Source organism: Homo sapiens, chromosome 17 (assembly GCF_000001405.40).
Source record: "Homo sapiens chromosome 17, GRCh38.p14 Primary Assembly".
NCBI lineage: Eukaryota > Metazoa > Chordata > Mammalia > Primates > Hominidae > Homo > Homo sapiens.
This window is the reverse complement of record NC_000017.11, coordinates 83,061,707-83,079,318: the sequence shown is the minus strand read 5'-3', so window position 1 is coordinate 83,079,318 and position 17,612 is coordinate 83,061,707. Positions and strand designations below refer to the sequence as shown.

The 17,612-nt window shown below is 61.4% G+C and overlaps 1 annotated feature.

Moving 5' to 3' along the window:
• Positions 9,127-9,679: an enhancer, noted in NCBI's record as "H3K4me1 hESC enhancer chr17:81027516-81028068 (GRCh37/hg19 assembly coordinates)". NCBI's record gives its function as "activates a minimal SCP1, AML or CMV promoter by ChIP-STARR-seq in primed H9 embryonic stem cells {active_cell/tissue: H9 hESC(primed)}" and the evidence as "EXISTENCE:reporter gene assay evidence [ECO:0000049][PMID:30033119]".

The following is a 17,612-nucleotide window of genomic DNA, read 5'->3' as shown; positions in this document are numbered from 1 at the left end:
CGGGGCGGAAACCCGAGACCCCCAAGTAGTGGCCGACGCGAGCCGCGGTCGCCCCCCGCAGACCCCCGCGAGGCGGTGCCGGGGCCGCATCCTGCGCCCCATCCTGCGCCCCATCCTGCGGGCAGCCCCGGCGCGGAGCGGTAAAGGAGGCTCCCGGCCCCGCCGGTTCTGGGTCCCCCGCGCCTCGCCAGCGGGCGGTGATCAGGGGCGATCCGGGCGCCCCGCGTTCCGCAGAGTTGGTGCCTCGGGAGTTCCCGGCTCCCTCCTGACCGGGGGGGAGGCCCGGCGGTGAGCCCGGCTTCCCTCCCTCCTCCCGGAGGACGTGCAGCCGCCGCGCCGGGGCCTCTGCCGAGCGCTGCCCACTCCTCGCTCCGGATACGCGGGGCCGGGTGGTTCTTGGGGTGGGGACGTCCTGCGCATGGTGGGATGTTGGCAGCACCCTGGCCCCCGCACTCTGGGTATCAGTAGCAACCCCCGCCCCAGCTTTGACAACCTAAACTCTCTGCAGATTTGGCCAAATCCCGCCCCCACCCCGTGCCCGCGGGGCAGAATCACCTGCGGAGCGTCCTGCTCGAGTGTGTTCCTCGGAGTCGGCGCCTTCCCCAGGTGGTCACCGCGGCCACCACGTGCCTGACCCAGTGGGGGGGACAGCGGAGACCCCCGCCCGGACTGGGGAGGCCCTAGAGACTCAGGCCAGAGAAGGGGAGCCAGAGGGTGCCGAGGGCCCCCCAGGCAGGAGAGGGCGGAGCTGGCCCGCCCGGCGGTCCCCGCTGCGATGGCAAAGCTGGCTTCTGTGTGCTGCGGGTCAGTGGCCCTGCCCGAGACGCCTGGTGTCAGTTCCAGAGCCGAGCGCAGCATCCAGCGGTGGGGAAGCTTGGCCTTGTCCCCTTTTCCAGCCAAGATACCTTCCAGGAGGACTTGCGAACGACCTGTGCAAGTCTGAATAACTGGGTTGTGACTACCAGAGGAGGCGGGGAGAGGGCTTTGAAAATTGTGAGTCTGCAGGGACGGAAGTCACCGGCAAAGGCAGGTGGAGCCCAGCCCCCAGCCCAGGAAAGCTGGGACAAGGGTGAGGGTCTGAAGAACTGGAAGGCGATGACAGTGACCACTGAAGGTAGTTTCATTGTAAGGATCTGTTCAGAGCACCCACCCCATCGAAAGCCTGGAGCCAGGACCTTGCCCAGCACATCAAGTGACATCACCCTGAGGCTCAAGGTCTGGTGGAGGTGCATTTCGGAGCTTGGAGACTGCCCCACCCACCCCCGTCTGCTCTAGGAGTGCACCTCCCCCCACCCCCATCACTGCAGGTACCAGGGTGCCCAGTGGAAAGGGACCTGCTGTGGAAAGGGACCTGCTGTGGAAAGGGACCTGCGGCTTCACACCTGTGCGCAGCAACTGCTTTCCATGCCCACCAAGCATAAGATAGCAGCCCCCCCAGGCCCGGTCCACCCTTGAAGGGCCACATGGCCTATCAGGGTCCAGATCATCACACCACGGAAGAGGCAGGGCAGTGCTGGGATCTCTTGAGTTATAGATGCGGACATGGGGAACTCAGGACCTGCCGTGACCTGCTCAGGGTCTCAGAGCCCCTGGTGGCTGCTAGACCGAAGGGGAGAGGCCGCCTCTGGTCAGCAGGCAGCTGGTTCCAGCCTAGGCTGGGGCAGAGATCTGCCACCTGGCAGGATGCCCAGCCTCCTGTGCCCAGCGGGCTGTCCTAAGACTGGGATCGTACGATGGTGAGTATGGGACCCACGTGTACTTTTCAAAACCCGTAGAAAATACAGCACAAGAGTGAATCCTGATGGAGGCTTGAGACATTTGTAATAATAACGGATCAATATTGGTTCTTTGACTGTCACACGCCTACACCCTAATGAGAGAAGGTAATCATAAGAGAAACTGGGTCAGGGAGAGGGTGTGTGGGGGACCTCTACCATCTGCTTGGTGTTTCTGTAAACCTAAAACATTAAGTCTGCTAATTAAAACAAAACAAAACTAGAGTAAGAATGCTTGCTGGCCAGTATTCTCGGAAGAAGCTAATCTGTCTTGGGAAAGGAGCCTGGCCCTTTCCACCCTGGGGCTGTGGTTCCCCAAGCTGTTCCCTTGAGGAGGTTCATGCCCCAGAGACATTGGGTGCTCCTGGGCACCTCTGCTGACCCCTGTCCTGGCCCAGCGAGGCCACCTACAGGTGAGACGTCCCCTGTAGACGGGGTTCCTGGTGTCAGGAGGTATCAGGCTCCTAGAGGATGCAGGCTGAGGTGGTCAAGGCTGTCTGGGGGTGTTCCCAGCCACTGGTACACTGCCCCTTGTACCACCAGACCCCGAGAGGCCGATTATGAACCAAAAGGATCCCAGCTGGTCATGGTGTGTGGCCCTCCCCCTGGTCCTCTGGGAGGGTCTGCAAGGAAAGGGCCTTGGGTGTGTTTGTCCCTGGATGTCTGGGAAGGGACTGCTTCCCAGTGAGCATGTCACGGGGTTAGACCCAGGAAGGGGCCACAGCATCATCCCACCCACCCACTCGTGGGAAGGAGCTGGTCTTCGCAGCTTTGCGTGAAGCTCTGATACTTCCTACCTGAGTCGGAACGTTGAGGCTGAGCCGTGGAATCGGAGAGCTCCAGAACCCACCAGGATCACGCCTGCCCATTCCCTCTACCGGCGGGCCCTGCAGTGATGCTTCTGCATCCTGGGAGATGGCAGCTAAGGGACCTGGGCCAGGGGGGCCTGTGGCCCAACCGTAGGTCTACATCAACCCTCTCTCTTTCCTCATCTATCCATTCCCTCGAGAAACAGCTCTCAGAAGCCTCCTGGGCAGACGTCCGTGAAAAAAATTCTGGGTGCACCCTGGACAGTCCTTCTGTGCCTCACCAGGGTCTGAGGCCTCAGAAAGCAGGACGTGGCCTCCCATGTCCGAGGACCACGACCCACTGTTAGGATCGAGTGACCTCGGCAGGGTCACCTCTGTGTATTTGACCCGGGAGTTTTTATCGCGTGCATTGCAGGGACCCAGCACCTGGGAATTTGCTGGGGTGGAGGGCTGTGGGACTGGACCCCTTTCTCGGCCTTTCCTATGCCGGGTGCCTACAGGCCCTGTGGGGTGGTGGACGGACCTGGCTCGGACGTCAGCCCCCAGCTCTGGGTCACAGACATGGTGGGGTTGGAGTCTGTTTCTGAGCCTCAGTTACCTGCAAAGTGGATCTGTTCTTGATTCCCAGGGCGTCGTAGGGTTTACGATGTCAGGATTCAACGCCACGTCCCCAGGTGGGGGCTGATTCTCACCTGTTCAAGGCACCACCGGGCTGTCATCAGGCCTTGGGGCCCTCATGGGGCTGGGTGGGGGGAACCCCTCCCGCCGTGCTCCCCACAGCTGCGAGTTCTCTGAGCCACTGGCACAACCCGGTGGACTTTACTGCTTTTATTTTTGGCCCAGTCTTGAGGTTTTCAAATGTGTGTTGACGGCCAATGTGCTGCCCAAGATGACCAGTCACCTGAATCCACTCACTAAAGAAACAGCTCCTCCCAGAGTAGCTGGATTCCTCCAGAAAAACATCACACGGTTTCCCCAAGCGCGTCCATGAAATTTTCTCTTTCAGCATTTGAAAAATACTGAAGAACGTCGCAGTCTGTCGTTCACGTGAGCACAGTTCATCCCACGGCCCCGCCCAACCACCACCTCCCAAGTCATTTGCCACCCGTTTCCCTCCCAGGCCATTTTCGCCAACCTTCTCGTAATTATCGTAATTGTGGTTGAATGATACATGGAGAGCCTGTGCTTGTAACTCAACTTCAATGAGCAACGTGTAATTACTACACGAAACAGCCACGGATGCCAGCCAGCCTCCACCTGATGACCTTCAGTGTGTCATTCTTCCCTAACCCCCTCCTTAACCTAATTTGCTGCCATGTGCTGCTCTCTGTGCGTCAGAGAAAAGTGGGAGTAGGGAGTTTCCTTGAGTCAGATACAAGTCCAGGCCGATGCTGGCCGGCTATGTGACCTTGGGTGGTGCTTGCCCCCAGGTTGGCCAGGTGGAGAGAGGCCACCAGCCGCCAGCTCGGCAGTGAGAGACAGTTCTGTGTGGCACGCTGGCCCCACACCGTCCTAGCAGTTGTTTGTAGCAGCTGTTCATGGCAGCATCTCACCCTCCGCCCGGCCATGAACCGACCATGGCCCCAGGGCTGGTGAGCTGTAGTGACTCTGCCATCTCGGGCACTCAGACCCCACAGGGAAGGAGGGTCCTCGGCCTCCGCGGGGTGGTGTCAGGAGGGGCCATCTACAGTACACGGTGGATTTGTACACAGAGGTGGACGTCTGCGTGGACCCTGACCACGGCCGGTCAGATGTGCTCAGGGGCAGGACCGTGAGCCCAGTGATGACGTGCTAAGGTCCGGCCGGCCGGCCACACACAGCAGGTCTGCGGTCACCCAGGACGTCAGCCGAGGGCCTCAGCCCACTCGTTCTGGAGGACGCTCACGGCAGAAACGCCTCGGAAGGAGCCGGTATCCCCACGGCCTGCGGGGAGAGGGAGTGTCCCATATGCCAACTACCGAAGGCCTGAAACTCACAAACGTTGAAGGCCAGTGTGCAGGGCACCCACGCATCCCCCGGCTGCGGCCGAGGGCTGTTCCTCTGTTTTGGCATTTCCCCTGAGCCACGTGGGAGCTGCAGAGGTTGTGACCCTTTGGCCCTAATCATGGGAGCAGGAGTCACCCCTCAACGGGGACAACGTATGGTGCCATCCAGCGCCGTCGGCACACCCAGCTTGCCGTGTGGAGACGGTGCCCCTCCATAGAGTAAATGCACGCCGCCTTGTTCCCCGTGGGCCCCACACTTGACTGCTCATCACCGGGCTGGGCCCCCTCTGACAGGCTGGGCAGGGCACAGGGTGGTCCCTCCCAGGGTTCACTGGTTGGCATCAGAGACCAGAGCCCCGCTCCGTGGCCCTCCTGGCAGCCCGCCCCACTGGCATCTGAATTCTGGAAGGCACCTCTCCCAGGGCCACCTTGGCCACCCTCTAGAATAAACAGAAAGAGGGGGCTCTGCTGCCTGGGGCTCCTCGTGGGCTCAGATCGGTCGGCGTGTCTCACTGAACAGTTTGGGCTCCTTTTTTCTTGCAAGTTTATAATCGAAACGAAGAGCTTTTTTTCTCTGCTTCTGTGGCCTTTGGTTTCATGCTACAGGAAGGCATCTCCCAGACCCCAGTGGGGCCTGCCGACAGCGGAGGCACGTGGGGGTGTGCGAGGGGCTGTGCCCTGTTCTTGCTGTGCCCCTCTGCCCCTGGCACCACCCCGAAGGAGGCAAGGCCTTGTCAACATCTGTTAAGCCGGGAACCGGGGACCGCCCAGGGTCAGATGGGCTGGAGTAGCCACACTGCAGGAAGCTGAGGGCAGACAGAGCTCTCTCCTCCCATACCCCACTGGGCTGGGTGTCCCGGGGAGGGTGGACGTCCAGATGCTGGGGCACCTAACCTGGACCGGGCTGGGCAGCTGCCCAGCGCGTGGGGAAGGGCGGGACCGTGGTCGGCGCAGTCACCACCAGGACCTGCCCCGCCGGGCGGGGTTCTGCCTCCTCCTCCAGTCCACAGGGCGAGTCTCCACGGACAGCCCCAGGGACAGGCCCTCCCCACATCGACGCTGCGCCTGGATGACTCAGCCCAGGCAGGCGGGGGTGGCGGTAGACACCCTCACCAGGAGCCTGTCCAGTGGGGCCCTCCCATGCAGGTAATTAGCCCGGCTGTCCTGCCCCTGAAAAGAGGCCGGGTAGCCCAGAGCTGCCCCCAGCTGGAGGGGCTGAGAGCTCTGGCTGTGGAGCGTGCGTGGGATGCGGGGGCGCTGGAGGCACAGGGCAGCTGTCTCACATGTCCGTCCCTTTCTGCCCACGCTGAGATAGTGAAGAAGGCCTTGACAGCCATTTGGACAGACGGTCCCACCCAGAACGAGGAGAAGCAGGCGACACCCAGCTCAGCGGACAGTGGGCAGGCACACTGGCAGGCAGGGTCAGGGGATCTGTCTCCCGAGTCACCTGTGTGCCAAGACACCCCACTGCGTCCCCAGGCTCCAGGGTTTGGGGAAGGGTGTCGGTGGGGCTGGGCGTGCAGGGAGCGTCCGGGGGCCAGGTCACGTGGACTTGGCCGATCTTGGAGAGAGAACTGGACCCCCACAGTGTCGAGTAGATAGGGGCCCAGCGGGGTGGGGCCCGAGCAAGTGAAGGCGGGGGTGGGGCAGGGCCTGGGTGTGCCTCCCCAAATCCAGCCAAGCTGGAGTGCACAGGGTCACCCAGGGATGCTGGCTTCACGCTCTTCCTCCAGCCATGCCTGCCTGGACTCGGCGGAGGAAACACTCCCTCCAGAAGCCCCTCCAGGCAGGCAGGAGCGAGGCCAGCTGGTGGGCTTTCTCCTCGGGAGTGGAGGGGTCCCTCCCGTCCACACGGCAGGTGCTGAGCACCCTACCCCAACCCTGCCTGCTGCAACGTGCGGGCCCAGCCTTGGCGCCAGCTGTCCCAACAGGGACCTGAGGACCCATGTGCCTTCTCCTGGAGAGGTGGCCAGGCCTGTGCCGGGGCTCCACTCTACTCCCAGTGGTGCCAGGAGGTCCCTGCAGCCCCAATGCCAGAGCTGTGCCTCCGCTGAAGCTTGCGGAAGTGAGACGGCCCAGAGGGACCCGCTGTCCAGACCCAGGATGGTGGACTGTGCGTCCTGGGCCTCAGTTCAGGCTCATGAAAGATGACTGAGCCCCCTCCGCCCCCGCCCCACACCCTCCAGCCCCCACACCCCACCATGCCCCGCACCGCACCAGCTCCCCGCATAGATGCTCCTCCTTGTCAGCCTGGGCCAGAGCCAGACAGGACCCACAGAGGCAGGGACCCCTCCCCAAATCCTAGCTGGCAGTTTCAGTCTTTAAGCACTGTCTGGGGGGTTGTCAGTGTTGGTGGGGTGCACTCCTGTAGGGCTGCCTGGAAGAGGTGACCTACATGCGTGCACAACTGTTCAAGCAAGGGTGAGGAAAAGGAGCAGCTGGCACTGTGCACTGTGTGGGGGTGCAAGGAGACCCAACCCAGCAGGAGTCAGGGCAGGAGGCTGGGGGCAGCCTGACCCCACGTGGAAGAGCTTGGGGTCATGAGGCTGCTGTCACCAGGCTCACAAGGGACTCCAGTGAGAGAGTAAAGCGATGAGGTCACGTGAACTGAAGAAACAAAACCACAGATCTTTATATGCAGTGTGGCAACAGTGACAGGAGCCAGGGGAAGTCTCCCCTCGACTCCACGGTGGAATTTTAATCGTCCCCAATTTTTCTACAATGACTAGGTATTGCTATTATGATGAGAAAACAAATTATTTAAAAAGGAAAAAAAAGAAAAAAGGAAGGAGGAAGGGAGGGAGGAAAGATGGAGGGAAGAAGAGAGGGAAGGAGACAGAGAGAGAGATTGTTATGAATGATGGGGGGGGACACAGTTTACCCAGAAAACAACTGCAGCCTCATGGGGCCTCTCAGGGGGCCAGGCCCAGGGCGTGGCTGATAGGGAGGTGGGCCGAGGGGCACTGGGAGCCCATGCTGGGCTTAGTGAGGTGGTGCAGGTTGGCTCGAGGAGTGCCCACTGCTAAACTGCGTGACTTGGTGGCGATCAACCCTCCAGCTCCCCATCTGAGAGCGACTTCATGGTGCCAACCCCACAGAGTCGTGGGCAGGTTCATGGCCCAGCTCAGTGGGAGGGAAGCTCCAGCTTCCTATGTACTTTGGAGCATGGGCCTCCCATTCCGGCCTCCCCACTCCCTGCCTCGACCTCAGCAGCCCTGTCCCCGTCCCCTCACAGCAGTGGCTGCAGCCACCAGGATCTGCCCCTTCCTCACCACCCTCTGGCTCTGTTCTACCCTCCGGAGCATGAAGGGCCGTGGGGCGCCTGGTGTCTGCGTCCTGTCCAGAACATGTTGGTGGACAGCACCTTCCCCCCCAGCCCTCCTGACTCTGAGAAGCCTCCTGCCTGCCAGCCTTTTGCGTGTCACAGAGAAAACAAGGTGAAGAAGATGATTATTTGAGTCTAGAGAGCTAATTAAAATGTTTAAAAACATACTTTTTAAGTACAAAAGTGAATATGCTTATTGACAAAGTCTGTTGTTCGGGGTTTCTGAGAGAAAAAAGAAAAGAGGGATTTCCCCTTTGACTTCCTGGCCCTGTCCAAGGGCTGGTACAGGCTCCCTGAGACTCCCTGGGCGTCGTGTGTGCACGTGTGTATGTGCATGCGTGCTCGAGTGTGCATTGTGTGTGTGCGCTCATGTGTATGTGTGCATGCCTGTGTGCACGTGTGCGTGTGCTCGAGTGTGCATTGTGAGCGTGTGCGTGCTCATGTGTATGTGTGCATGCCTGTGTGCACGTGTGTGCGCTCGAGTGTGCATTGTGTGTGTGTGCTCATGTGTATGTGTGCATGCCTCTGAGCATGTGTGCATGTGTGTAGAGCCCTGCATGGGATTTGGCCCACAGTGGTTCCATTTTGACTCTAATTTCCAGCAAAAACTCTGCAGAGCTCTGGTCAGCAGCCGCGACTCTGGCGCCAGTGCCTGTGGGGCAGGATCTGGATTTCAAACTCAATTTCAAAAAACAAACCATAGCTGAGTCCACTACAAGGCAACAGGAAAATAATGAGTGGCAGAGTGGGGGCTGGGGGGCATGACTTTATTTTTCGTGGTCCAGTGGTCGCCTGGGCGATGCCGGCCTTGGAGGGCGCGGAGGAGAAAGGCCTAAGAGTGTGTTGATGTCAACAGGAAGCGCTTTTGTGGGCGTCTTTGGGCATCGTCTGTTCTCACTGCTTTCAAGTCCAGTGAGGGGCAGGCAGAGCGGCTGCCAGCTCCCTGAGTGACCAGCATCTGAATGTCCCCAGGCTGCTTGCTGGGCCACCTCCCAGCCCTGCCCACCCCGTGGTCCCCTCCTGACCCTTTCTAGGTGTCTCAGGCCCCCAAGGCCCCACAGCCTCCCCCCCTGCGAATGAGGAGTCATCAGCACAGCTCAGCAGGGACCCTGAGAGGCCAGAGGCCAAGCCGCCGCTCAAAGTGGAGGTCAGGCCCGCGCTGACCGGCTGGGCTGGGGGGAGCCGTCCCTGTCCCGTCCACTCCCCGCGCCCCGTCCGCCAGAAGCCTCCGCAGTGGGGCAGTCCCAGCCCGTGCCCCTGACCACAGCCCTGAGGCAGACTGTCCCGGCCACCTTTGGGCCCAGCACGCTCCCTCCCAGCCCTGCACACACGGGGGCTGTGAGCTTGTGCACCAGCAAAGGCTGTCATGCAGCAGTGGGGACCCGGAAGGATCAGGGCTGGAGCGTCCTCACGGGAGGCATCCCACGTGGCTCACCTCGGCACTGGGTGTCTGCCTCTCACATCCTGCGGCTCCCACCACATGGGCCCCGTCCACTTCAGGGTAGACCCCTCCTGGCAGGTTCTGTGCCCACAGCCTGACAACTACAGGGGCAACTACAGCCCCTGACCCTCCTTCCCTGGCTTGGAAGAGGGATGAGAAGCCGCTGGACAAAGGGGCATGACAGGCATATGTGAGCGTGTATGAGCGTGTGGGAGCATGTGGAAGCATGTGGGAGCATGTATGAGCATGTGGGAGCATGTGTGTGCATGTGGGAGCATGTATGAGCGTGTGGGAGCGTGTGTGCGCATGTGGGAGCGTGTGGGAGCATGTGGAAGTGTGTGGGAGCATGTGGAAGCGTGTGGGAGACCCAGCAGGTTGGGGAAGGACTGGCCCTTGTCCCAGCTCTGGCACCCATGTTAGCTTTTGGTGAGGGACACAGTTTCTAGCACCTTCTGAGAAAGGACCTGTTTGAGAACAGCCAGACCCTGCCAGCCCCCACCCGGCCCAGCCCGGCTCTCAGAGAGGATGGGGTGGGACCCCATGTTCAGCGCTGGCCACCTTCGGGCTGCTCCGACAGCATGGGGTGGTGGGCACAGAGCCCTGCCCGTGGGGGTTGACACCTGACCCAGTCACCCTCGTCATGGGGCTGACGACGGCACCCATCCCGGGCACCCCTAGGAGCACAGGGGTCAGGCCTGTGTGCGGACCTGCCAAGTTCTCTGGGTTTCATTTTGTCCCCACCCCGCTGCATTCTCTCTACTTGTGCACACGTGATTTCCACAAATGATAAGCAGCCTCAACCATTTCCTGAAAAATTGGGGTTTTAGGTGAACCTCGGGGATGTTTTTCTACTGAAAAAGGTGAAATTAGGGAGATGCCTCCTCTAGGTCCGGAGGGGGACTCTGGCAGGGCGGCCGCCAGCCCTGCCTCTTGGGGTCACCGCGGGAAGGTGCTGGGTCCTGCTGTCCTCACATGCAGATGCGATTTCCACCACGGCAGCCCCCACGGCTGGGCTTACTGGGCCCGCGTGCCATGGGGGGAGCACCCGAGTTCCAACCTGCAACCCCCACGGATCCCACCCTGGGAGGACACCCCCATTGTCGCCCCCGCTGTCGCCTCCCGGGACCCCCGCTGCCGCCCCCCGCTGTCGCCTCCCGGGACCCCCATTGTCGCCCCCGCTGTCGCCTCCCGGGACCCCCGTTGTCGCCCCCCGCTGTCGCCTCCCGGGACCCCCATTGTCGCCCCCCGCTGTCGCCTCCCGGGACCCCCATTGTCGCCCCCCGCTGTCGCCTCCCGGGACCCCCGCTGCCGCCCCCGCTGTCGCCTCCCGGGACCCCCGCTGTCGCCCCCGCTGTCGCCTCCCGGGACCCCCGTTGTCACCGCCGCTGTCGCCTCCCGGGACCCCCGTTGTCACCCCCGCTGTCGCCTCCCGGGACCCCCGTTGCCGCCCCCGCTGTCGCCTCCCGGGACCCCCGTTGTCACCGCCGCTGTCGCCTCCCGGGACCCCCGTTGTCACCCCCGCTGTCGCCTCCCGGGACCCCCGTTGCCGCCCCCGCTGTCGCCTCCCGGGACCCCCGTTGTCACCGCCGCTGTCGCCTCCCGGGACCCCCGTTGTCACCGCCGCTGTCGCCTCCCGGGACCCCCGTTGCCGCCCCCGCTGTCGCCTCCCGGGACCCCCGTTGTCACCGCCGCTGTCGCCTCCCGGGACCCCCGTTGTCACCCCCGCTGTCGCCTCCCGGGACCCCCGCTGCCGCCCCCGCTGTCGCCTCCCGGGACCCCCGCTGCCGCCCCCCGCTGTCGCCTCCCGGGACCCCCGCTGTCGCCCCCGCTGTCGCCTCCTGCAGGTGGGATTTCGGGAGGTTCTTGGGTCATTCTCATCCCCGTGGAGGCTCAGGCTTCATTCCTTTAGCGAAACCTCATGTGTTTCCCGCACTTCCAAAAACGTCCAGCTGGAAGCCCTGAACTTCAGAAAGCAAAAGCAACTGAGTTTTCCCTGCACAGCCTGTGGCTCTCCCGGCCGGAAAGCACTTGTGTCACCCAAATGCCTGGGTCCTGGGCTGACCGTCCTAGTCTTTTGGAATCTAAGCTGAGCTGACTTAACCTAAATCCCTCCTTCCCAGAAGGGCTAAAGTGATCCTTTTCGTAGCTCCGCTAAGAGGCCTTTATCTGTGGCCCGGCTCATCCCAGAGGGGACGGGAGGGGTTGAGGTGAATGCCTGCAGGGTAACAAGATAAAGCACAGTGTAAGATGAGTGTGACACAAGGGGACAGGTCAGGCCCGGTCAGTGTGACACGAGGGGACAGGTCAGGCCCGGTCAGTGTTGCCACAGGGGCCACGAGGGGGGGCTTCAGGTGGGTTCCCCAGGACCCCCAGGACTCCGCACCTAGGCCAGAGCTCCGGACGGCCAGCAAAGCCAGCGAGACCTGATGCCTCAGGGCCTGCAGTGTCCAGTGCATGGAAATGGCCTTGGGAGGAGAGGCGGGTCCCGAGAGAACCCCAGGCTCTCCCCCAGGCGCAGGCACCCACACCACCTGGGCAGGCGAGGCCGAGCCTCCCCCCGCAGTTCCTCAGGACCTTCCTCTTGCCAACAGGAGCCCAGCGTGGAATCCCGCAAAGGAAACAGACAATGGGTCCGTGTCCACACCATGGCCACCAGAGCGCAGGTGTCACCTCCCCTTGAAACCCACAGCTGGTATCTTCACCATCGCCTCCTTCACAGGCAGAAAACAGACGCGGAGAGGCCAGCTCTCTCCCGGAGGCCGCGCGGCAGACAGGGGGCCGGATCCTACCCAGCGGGTCTCTCGGGTCCCTAGGGGGTAGTCCCCAGGCACCCAGACCTGCCTTGAGAAGAGTGTCTGTCTTGCCACAGCCTTCCCTGAGAGGCCCTGCGTGGCCCCAGGTAAGAACATGCACCGTCCCTCCAGGACTCAGGGTGAGGGTGCAGAGGGCGGGCAGCCGTGCCCAGGGTGAAGCCGTGGCCCCGGGTGAGAACACGCACTGTCCCTCCAGGACTCAGGGTGAGGGTGCAGAGGGCGGGCAGCCGTGCCCAGGGTGAAGCTGTGGCCCCGGGTGAGAACACGCACTGTCCCTCCAGGACGCACAGTGAGTGTGCAGGGGGCGGGCAGCCGTGCCCAGGGTGAAGCCGTGGCCCCGGGTGAGAACACGCACTGTCCCTCCAGGACTCAGGGTGAGGGTGCAGAGGGCGGGCAGCCGTGCCCAGGGTGAAGCCGTGGCCCCGGGTGAGAACACGCACTGTCCCTCCAGGACGCACAGTGAGTGTGCAGGGGGCGGGCAGCCGCGCCCATGGTGAAGCCCGGTGAGGCAGCCTGAGGCTGAGAAACACAGTTTCTTATGACAAAAGAAATTCACTTTCATGACAGAAAATGCGGATGAACACAGAGAACGACGTAAGAGTATCCTGAAACCTGCAGGAGGTAACAGCAGGGGTGGCATTTGGGGTGTCCTCCAGGGCGCAGGACTCTTGAGGGGATGGCTGGCTCGGACCCGGGGTGCTCCTCCAGCCGGACACGGGCCCAGGAAGCCCGCACTGTGGGGCTGAGTGGAAACTGCATCTGCGTGGCGGGCACGGCACGGTGTCTGCGATCTGGAGCTCTTCAGGGAAGGCCAGCCTGCGGCGGCGATGACGATGACAGATGGCGAGGGTCCGAGAGCCTCGTTACCCCACAGTGACCCGAGACGTTCGGGACCAGGAAACTTCCCGAAGGTCGGCCAACCCGAAAGTGGCCAGGGCCTCCAGGCACCAGGTAACAGAATAAGAAATATACATTTGGCCTCTGCCCTGGTTCCCCACACCAGCTCCGAAATCGCTTGGTATTTCCTGGGTGCTAGGAGCGTTTTTTTGTTCAAGGAGGTGACTCTTGGGGGCCCCTAGACAGCTTCAGGATGGGGTACGCTCACCGGGAAGACCAAACATCAATTAGAAGCTTGGAACTTTCAGTCCCACCGGCCTCCAGGGAGGGGAGAAGGGCTGAGATTGAATAACGATCCATTGGTCATGCCTGCCGGCTTCCATTAAACCCTTTAACAGATAGAATCCGGGAGCTTCTGGACTGGGGAACGCATGGGAGTGTGGGGGGTGGACAGAAACTCCTGCACTTGGGTCCTTCCTGGACCCCGCCCTGTGCACCTTGTTATCTGGTTGTCCATCTGTATCCTTTATTACATCTTTTATAGTGAATCAGTGAACGTAAATGAGTTTTTCCCTGAGTCCTGTGAGACTTAGAGCAAATTATCAAGCCTGGGGAGGAGTCGTGGCAACCCCCAACTTTGTAGCCAAGTCAGACGGAGGCGTGTGAACCCTGGGCACCCGATACTTGGGACGGTCGCCTGCAGAGGGGCAGCTTGTGGGACGGAGCCCCAGCCTGCGGGGTCTGCGCTACCTGCAGGTAGTGTGAGAGTCGAACTGAATCGTGGGACACCCCGTTGGTGTCCACTGAGAACTGGAAAGTTGCTTGGTGTGAAAATCCCGCACATTTGGTGCAAAGTGTTTAGAGTGTAGAGAAACAGATGTGTTCCGTTTCAGCCTGGGTGACCAGCCGGGGCCCTGGATGGTCTTGTCTGCCCAGCCCCCAACCTTTTCTTCCCCTGTCTGTGGGGCTGGGATGGAGCTGCTGATAAAGCCGGCTGTGCCCAGGCCCAGGCTGCGGGCTGCACGCTCCTCCTGGGGCTCCGTGACCGACGCGCAGGGCATGCTGGGGACTGAGCGCTTCTTGGGACTCAGAACCCTCCCTGCTAACATCAGGAAAGTCCCAGGCCGACTGGGATGAGTTGATCAACATCGGTTCTGAGTTCCAGGCCAACTGGGATGAGTTGATCAACACTGGTTCTGCTGAAGCTGGAGGGAGTTCACCCTCCGACCTTTGGGGTCACCAGGTTGGCAGGAAGCTCAGTTGCTCCTGGCCGCTGTCCGGGCCTCCGGGGGAGGGAGACCCATGCCCCCTCAGAGGGGCGTCACAGGCAGAGGCTGGGGCTTTGTTCCTGACAGCGGCACCTATGTCCTGTCCACCTTCCTGTGACACGGGCAACCAGCCAACCTGCCTGACTTCAAACCAGTGCAAACCAGTTCAGCCAGGAATCCTGACTCACACACCCTCCAAATTCACGTGTCGGGAAGACGCCAGCCCCGAGTCTGATGACCAGATTTAGCCCAGAACGTTCTGTGAGGCTCCCTCTGACCGAGTCCCCCGCAGGCGCTTTCATTTGCCACCTGGGGGGTCCAGCACCCACCTGCACCCTGTACCTGGTGTCGTCCTGCTGGCATCAGCATTTCCAAGGTGAGCTAGAACTGGTTAAAATATCAGCATGTGGCCCTGAGAACAAGGCCTTTGCCGCCAGCTGACTTTTCTCTCTGGACGCCTGGGCGAGGGCCTAGTGGTATCCTTGTGTCTGACATCAGGGCACGGCTGCAACGGTTGTCCCCCAAGCTGCCCCCTGAATCCCCCATGGATCTCCCAGCCTCCGATCCCTCCCTCTGGGCATTTGCACTATTCAGGGGTGCAGATATTAAACAGAAGGGAAAGTAGGCTAAGTCCCATATGACCTGTATGACAAGCGGGCTAGGACCTGACCCACCTGTGCTGACCTGCGGGCCCCTCACCTGCGGTCCGCTTGGTGCCCTCCAGCTCCCCAGGCCTGGACCTGGCTGCAGAGGCAGCTGCCCTGGGGACAGATGGTGCAGGGGCTGCAGGGCTGGGGGCTGTGGTGGGGAGCACCTCCCTCCACAGGTGGGCCACTCCCAGGGTGAACAGGGATCCAGGTCTGAGGCCAGGCCTGGATGGACGGCAGCCAGGAGCTTCTCAAAGGCACCAGCGGCACGGCCGGCACCTCTCTCAGCTCCGGAGCTCTCTTAAGTTCACAGCCTTAATAGAATTCCACCCATTTGTCCAGGGGGACAACGGGGCTTGGGAAGGAGTGAGAGAACAGCTCCCGCTGAGCCCCAGCCAGGTGCCGGCAGGACAGCGTGAGCCGGAGTTACAGATGGTCAGTTCCAAGAGAAGCCCGAAATCCAAATGTGGATTTTTGTGGAATTACCTGACATTTCGATCACTCTGCAGCCCCCACAGGCATCCGGGGATGCGGGGAGGGGGCGTGGTTGGTTTGCAGCCCCGCCTTGACCATAGAACAGGACAATGGAAACTCTGGGAGGGCCTGAATATTACCTGACTTCACAGATCAAAATGACCAGATAATCCAAACCAGCAGTGTACACCTGGCGTTTGGCAATTCCACACCCACCTGTGAAATTCACTTAAGCATTTTGGAAAGTTTGAGTTACTTCAGTAATAGAATCCGTATCTAACTAGATGTAGGTGTAAGCGCAGTCGTAATGTTTGCTGCAGGGGCCTATTCGCTGGCACTGTCTCAGGCGCTCCTCCTTCGGTCCGTCAGCAGTTCCTGGGCACCAAGCTGTGCTGGCCGCCGCCCTGCACGGTGCACAGCAAAGCTACGCAGCCATGGCGCTCCTTCCAGAACCAACCAAATAAACAGCAGGACTTTAGGGGCCAGGGTGAGGGGGAGAGCAGGGAGGGAGACCTCCCTGTGTGGGGTCTCTGTGCTGTGTGGCCCTGGGGCATGTGCTAACAGGGCTGGGACTGCCCGGACACGCAGCCTGCCCTGGAGTCTACGCCTGCCGTCCCTCCTTGCGGGTGTGAAGAGGCTGAGGCCTTGCTTCTCAAGGAGCTTGGTCGGAGACCCTCCCACACCCCATCCTAAGGAAACTTCTCCCTCCTCAAGCTGCTGCTTGGGATGTTCCCAGCTGCCTCATCCTGGCGCCGCGGCAGTAACCGGCTCACGTGATCACTGGACTCTGCCAGCCACGGGGAGTTGGCAGTAGACAAGAAGACCCTGTCCCTGCCCCAACAGGAGGTCAGTTTAGAGACACAGAGCTGGAGACCACTTAGCAGAACGATCTCCTGCAAAAAGGACAGGCAGGTGCTGGGGACAGTCCTAAGGCACGGAGGGGTAAAGTGTGTCTGTGCATGAGCCAGAGCTTCATAAGCTGGGCTGCCTCATCGCCTTTCGTAGCTTAGGACAACTTGGGCTAGATGGCCCCAGAGCCAGGTCCTGGGAGTTAGGAGTTGGTCAGGGTACCCCAGGCCCTGGCGGTCGTGAGGGCAGGGCCCAGCCCCAACTGTGCTGGATGCCGTCTGAACTGTGCAGGGGCCTGAGATTTTACTTTCGGGCTAACAAGCCTGCCTGTTTCGTGGGTGCTGGCAGGAAGCACCAGACTGCTGGGGTCAGAGATAGAGGATCTTAATCACTCACAGCAAAAGCAGAACCAGAGGGTCAGCACCTTGAGTGGGCTCCCAAGCCCCTTCCCCAGCAGCGATGTGCGGGGGCTCAGACAGATGCTGCCCACACAGGGGACTGCCCACAGGAGAGGCCCTCAGCTCTGGGAAGCCGCTGCTGTACAGCAGGCAGACAGTGTGCCAGCTCTTCGTCCCAGAGAGAGGCATCGGTCACCGTGCACACACCCGTGCACACCCCCCTGAGAAACGACCCCGGGGCAGCCATTGGAGTTTGCATTCCTGGCCCAGCAAGATGGGCAGGAGCAAGGGATCCATGGAGGAGCGTCTTCCAGGAAACACTGGGGAAGCTTTGACACAGCCTCAGACCGTGGGGTTCAGGGAAGCAGCTGGGGGCTGAGTGCTGGCCCTCCCCGGCACGGAATACCGTACAGGCCTCGGGTTTCTGGGTGGCTGCTGGTGCAGTTCCCCATCAGCAGGTGTGGGTCCTACCTGCCTTTATGGCCCTGGTGGCCTGTGGAGACGCCTGGTTGAGGGATGGGGGCTGATGGCTCCTCCCAGGGTGGACCGTTGGGCTCCCCTCCCTGCCTTCCCCACGCTCTCACTGCCCCTCCCTGCCCCAGAGGGGAGACTGCTGGGTGGGTCCCACGGCCAGAGCTCAGCCCTCGTGCTCCGCCTTTCCCCAGCACCGCACACCTGCCTCAGGAGGGGGCCGTGCACCCTCCGGGCCTTCTGCCACCAGACCCAGTTGTGCCCAATGATGCTGTGAGCGTCTGTGCTGAGTCTTCATCAGGAAAATGTGGGAAAGACATTAAAATGGGTGAGGAGGTTTCTGGGCATCCTTTCAGTGGGGGGCCAGGCGAACCCCTGGGTTCTCTGGTGCTGCAGTGATCGGCGCCTTCCTCATCTTTAATGGAGCTGTGAGACAGTTCCCTGCACACCAGAAAGGTGACGGCCACACACAGGAGCCCACGGAGGTGCAAGGACACTTGTCAGTGGAGACACGGCTGAT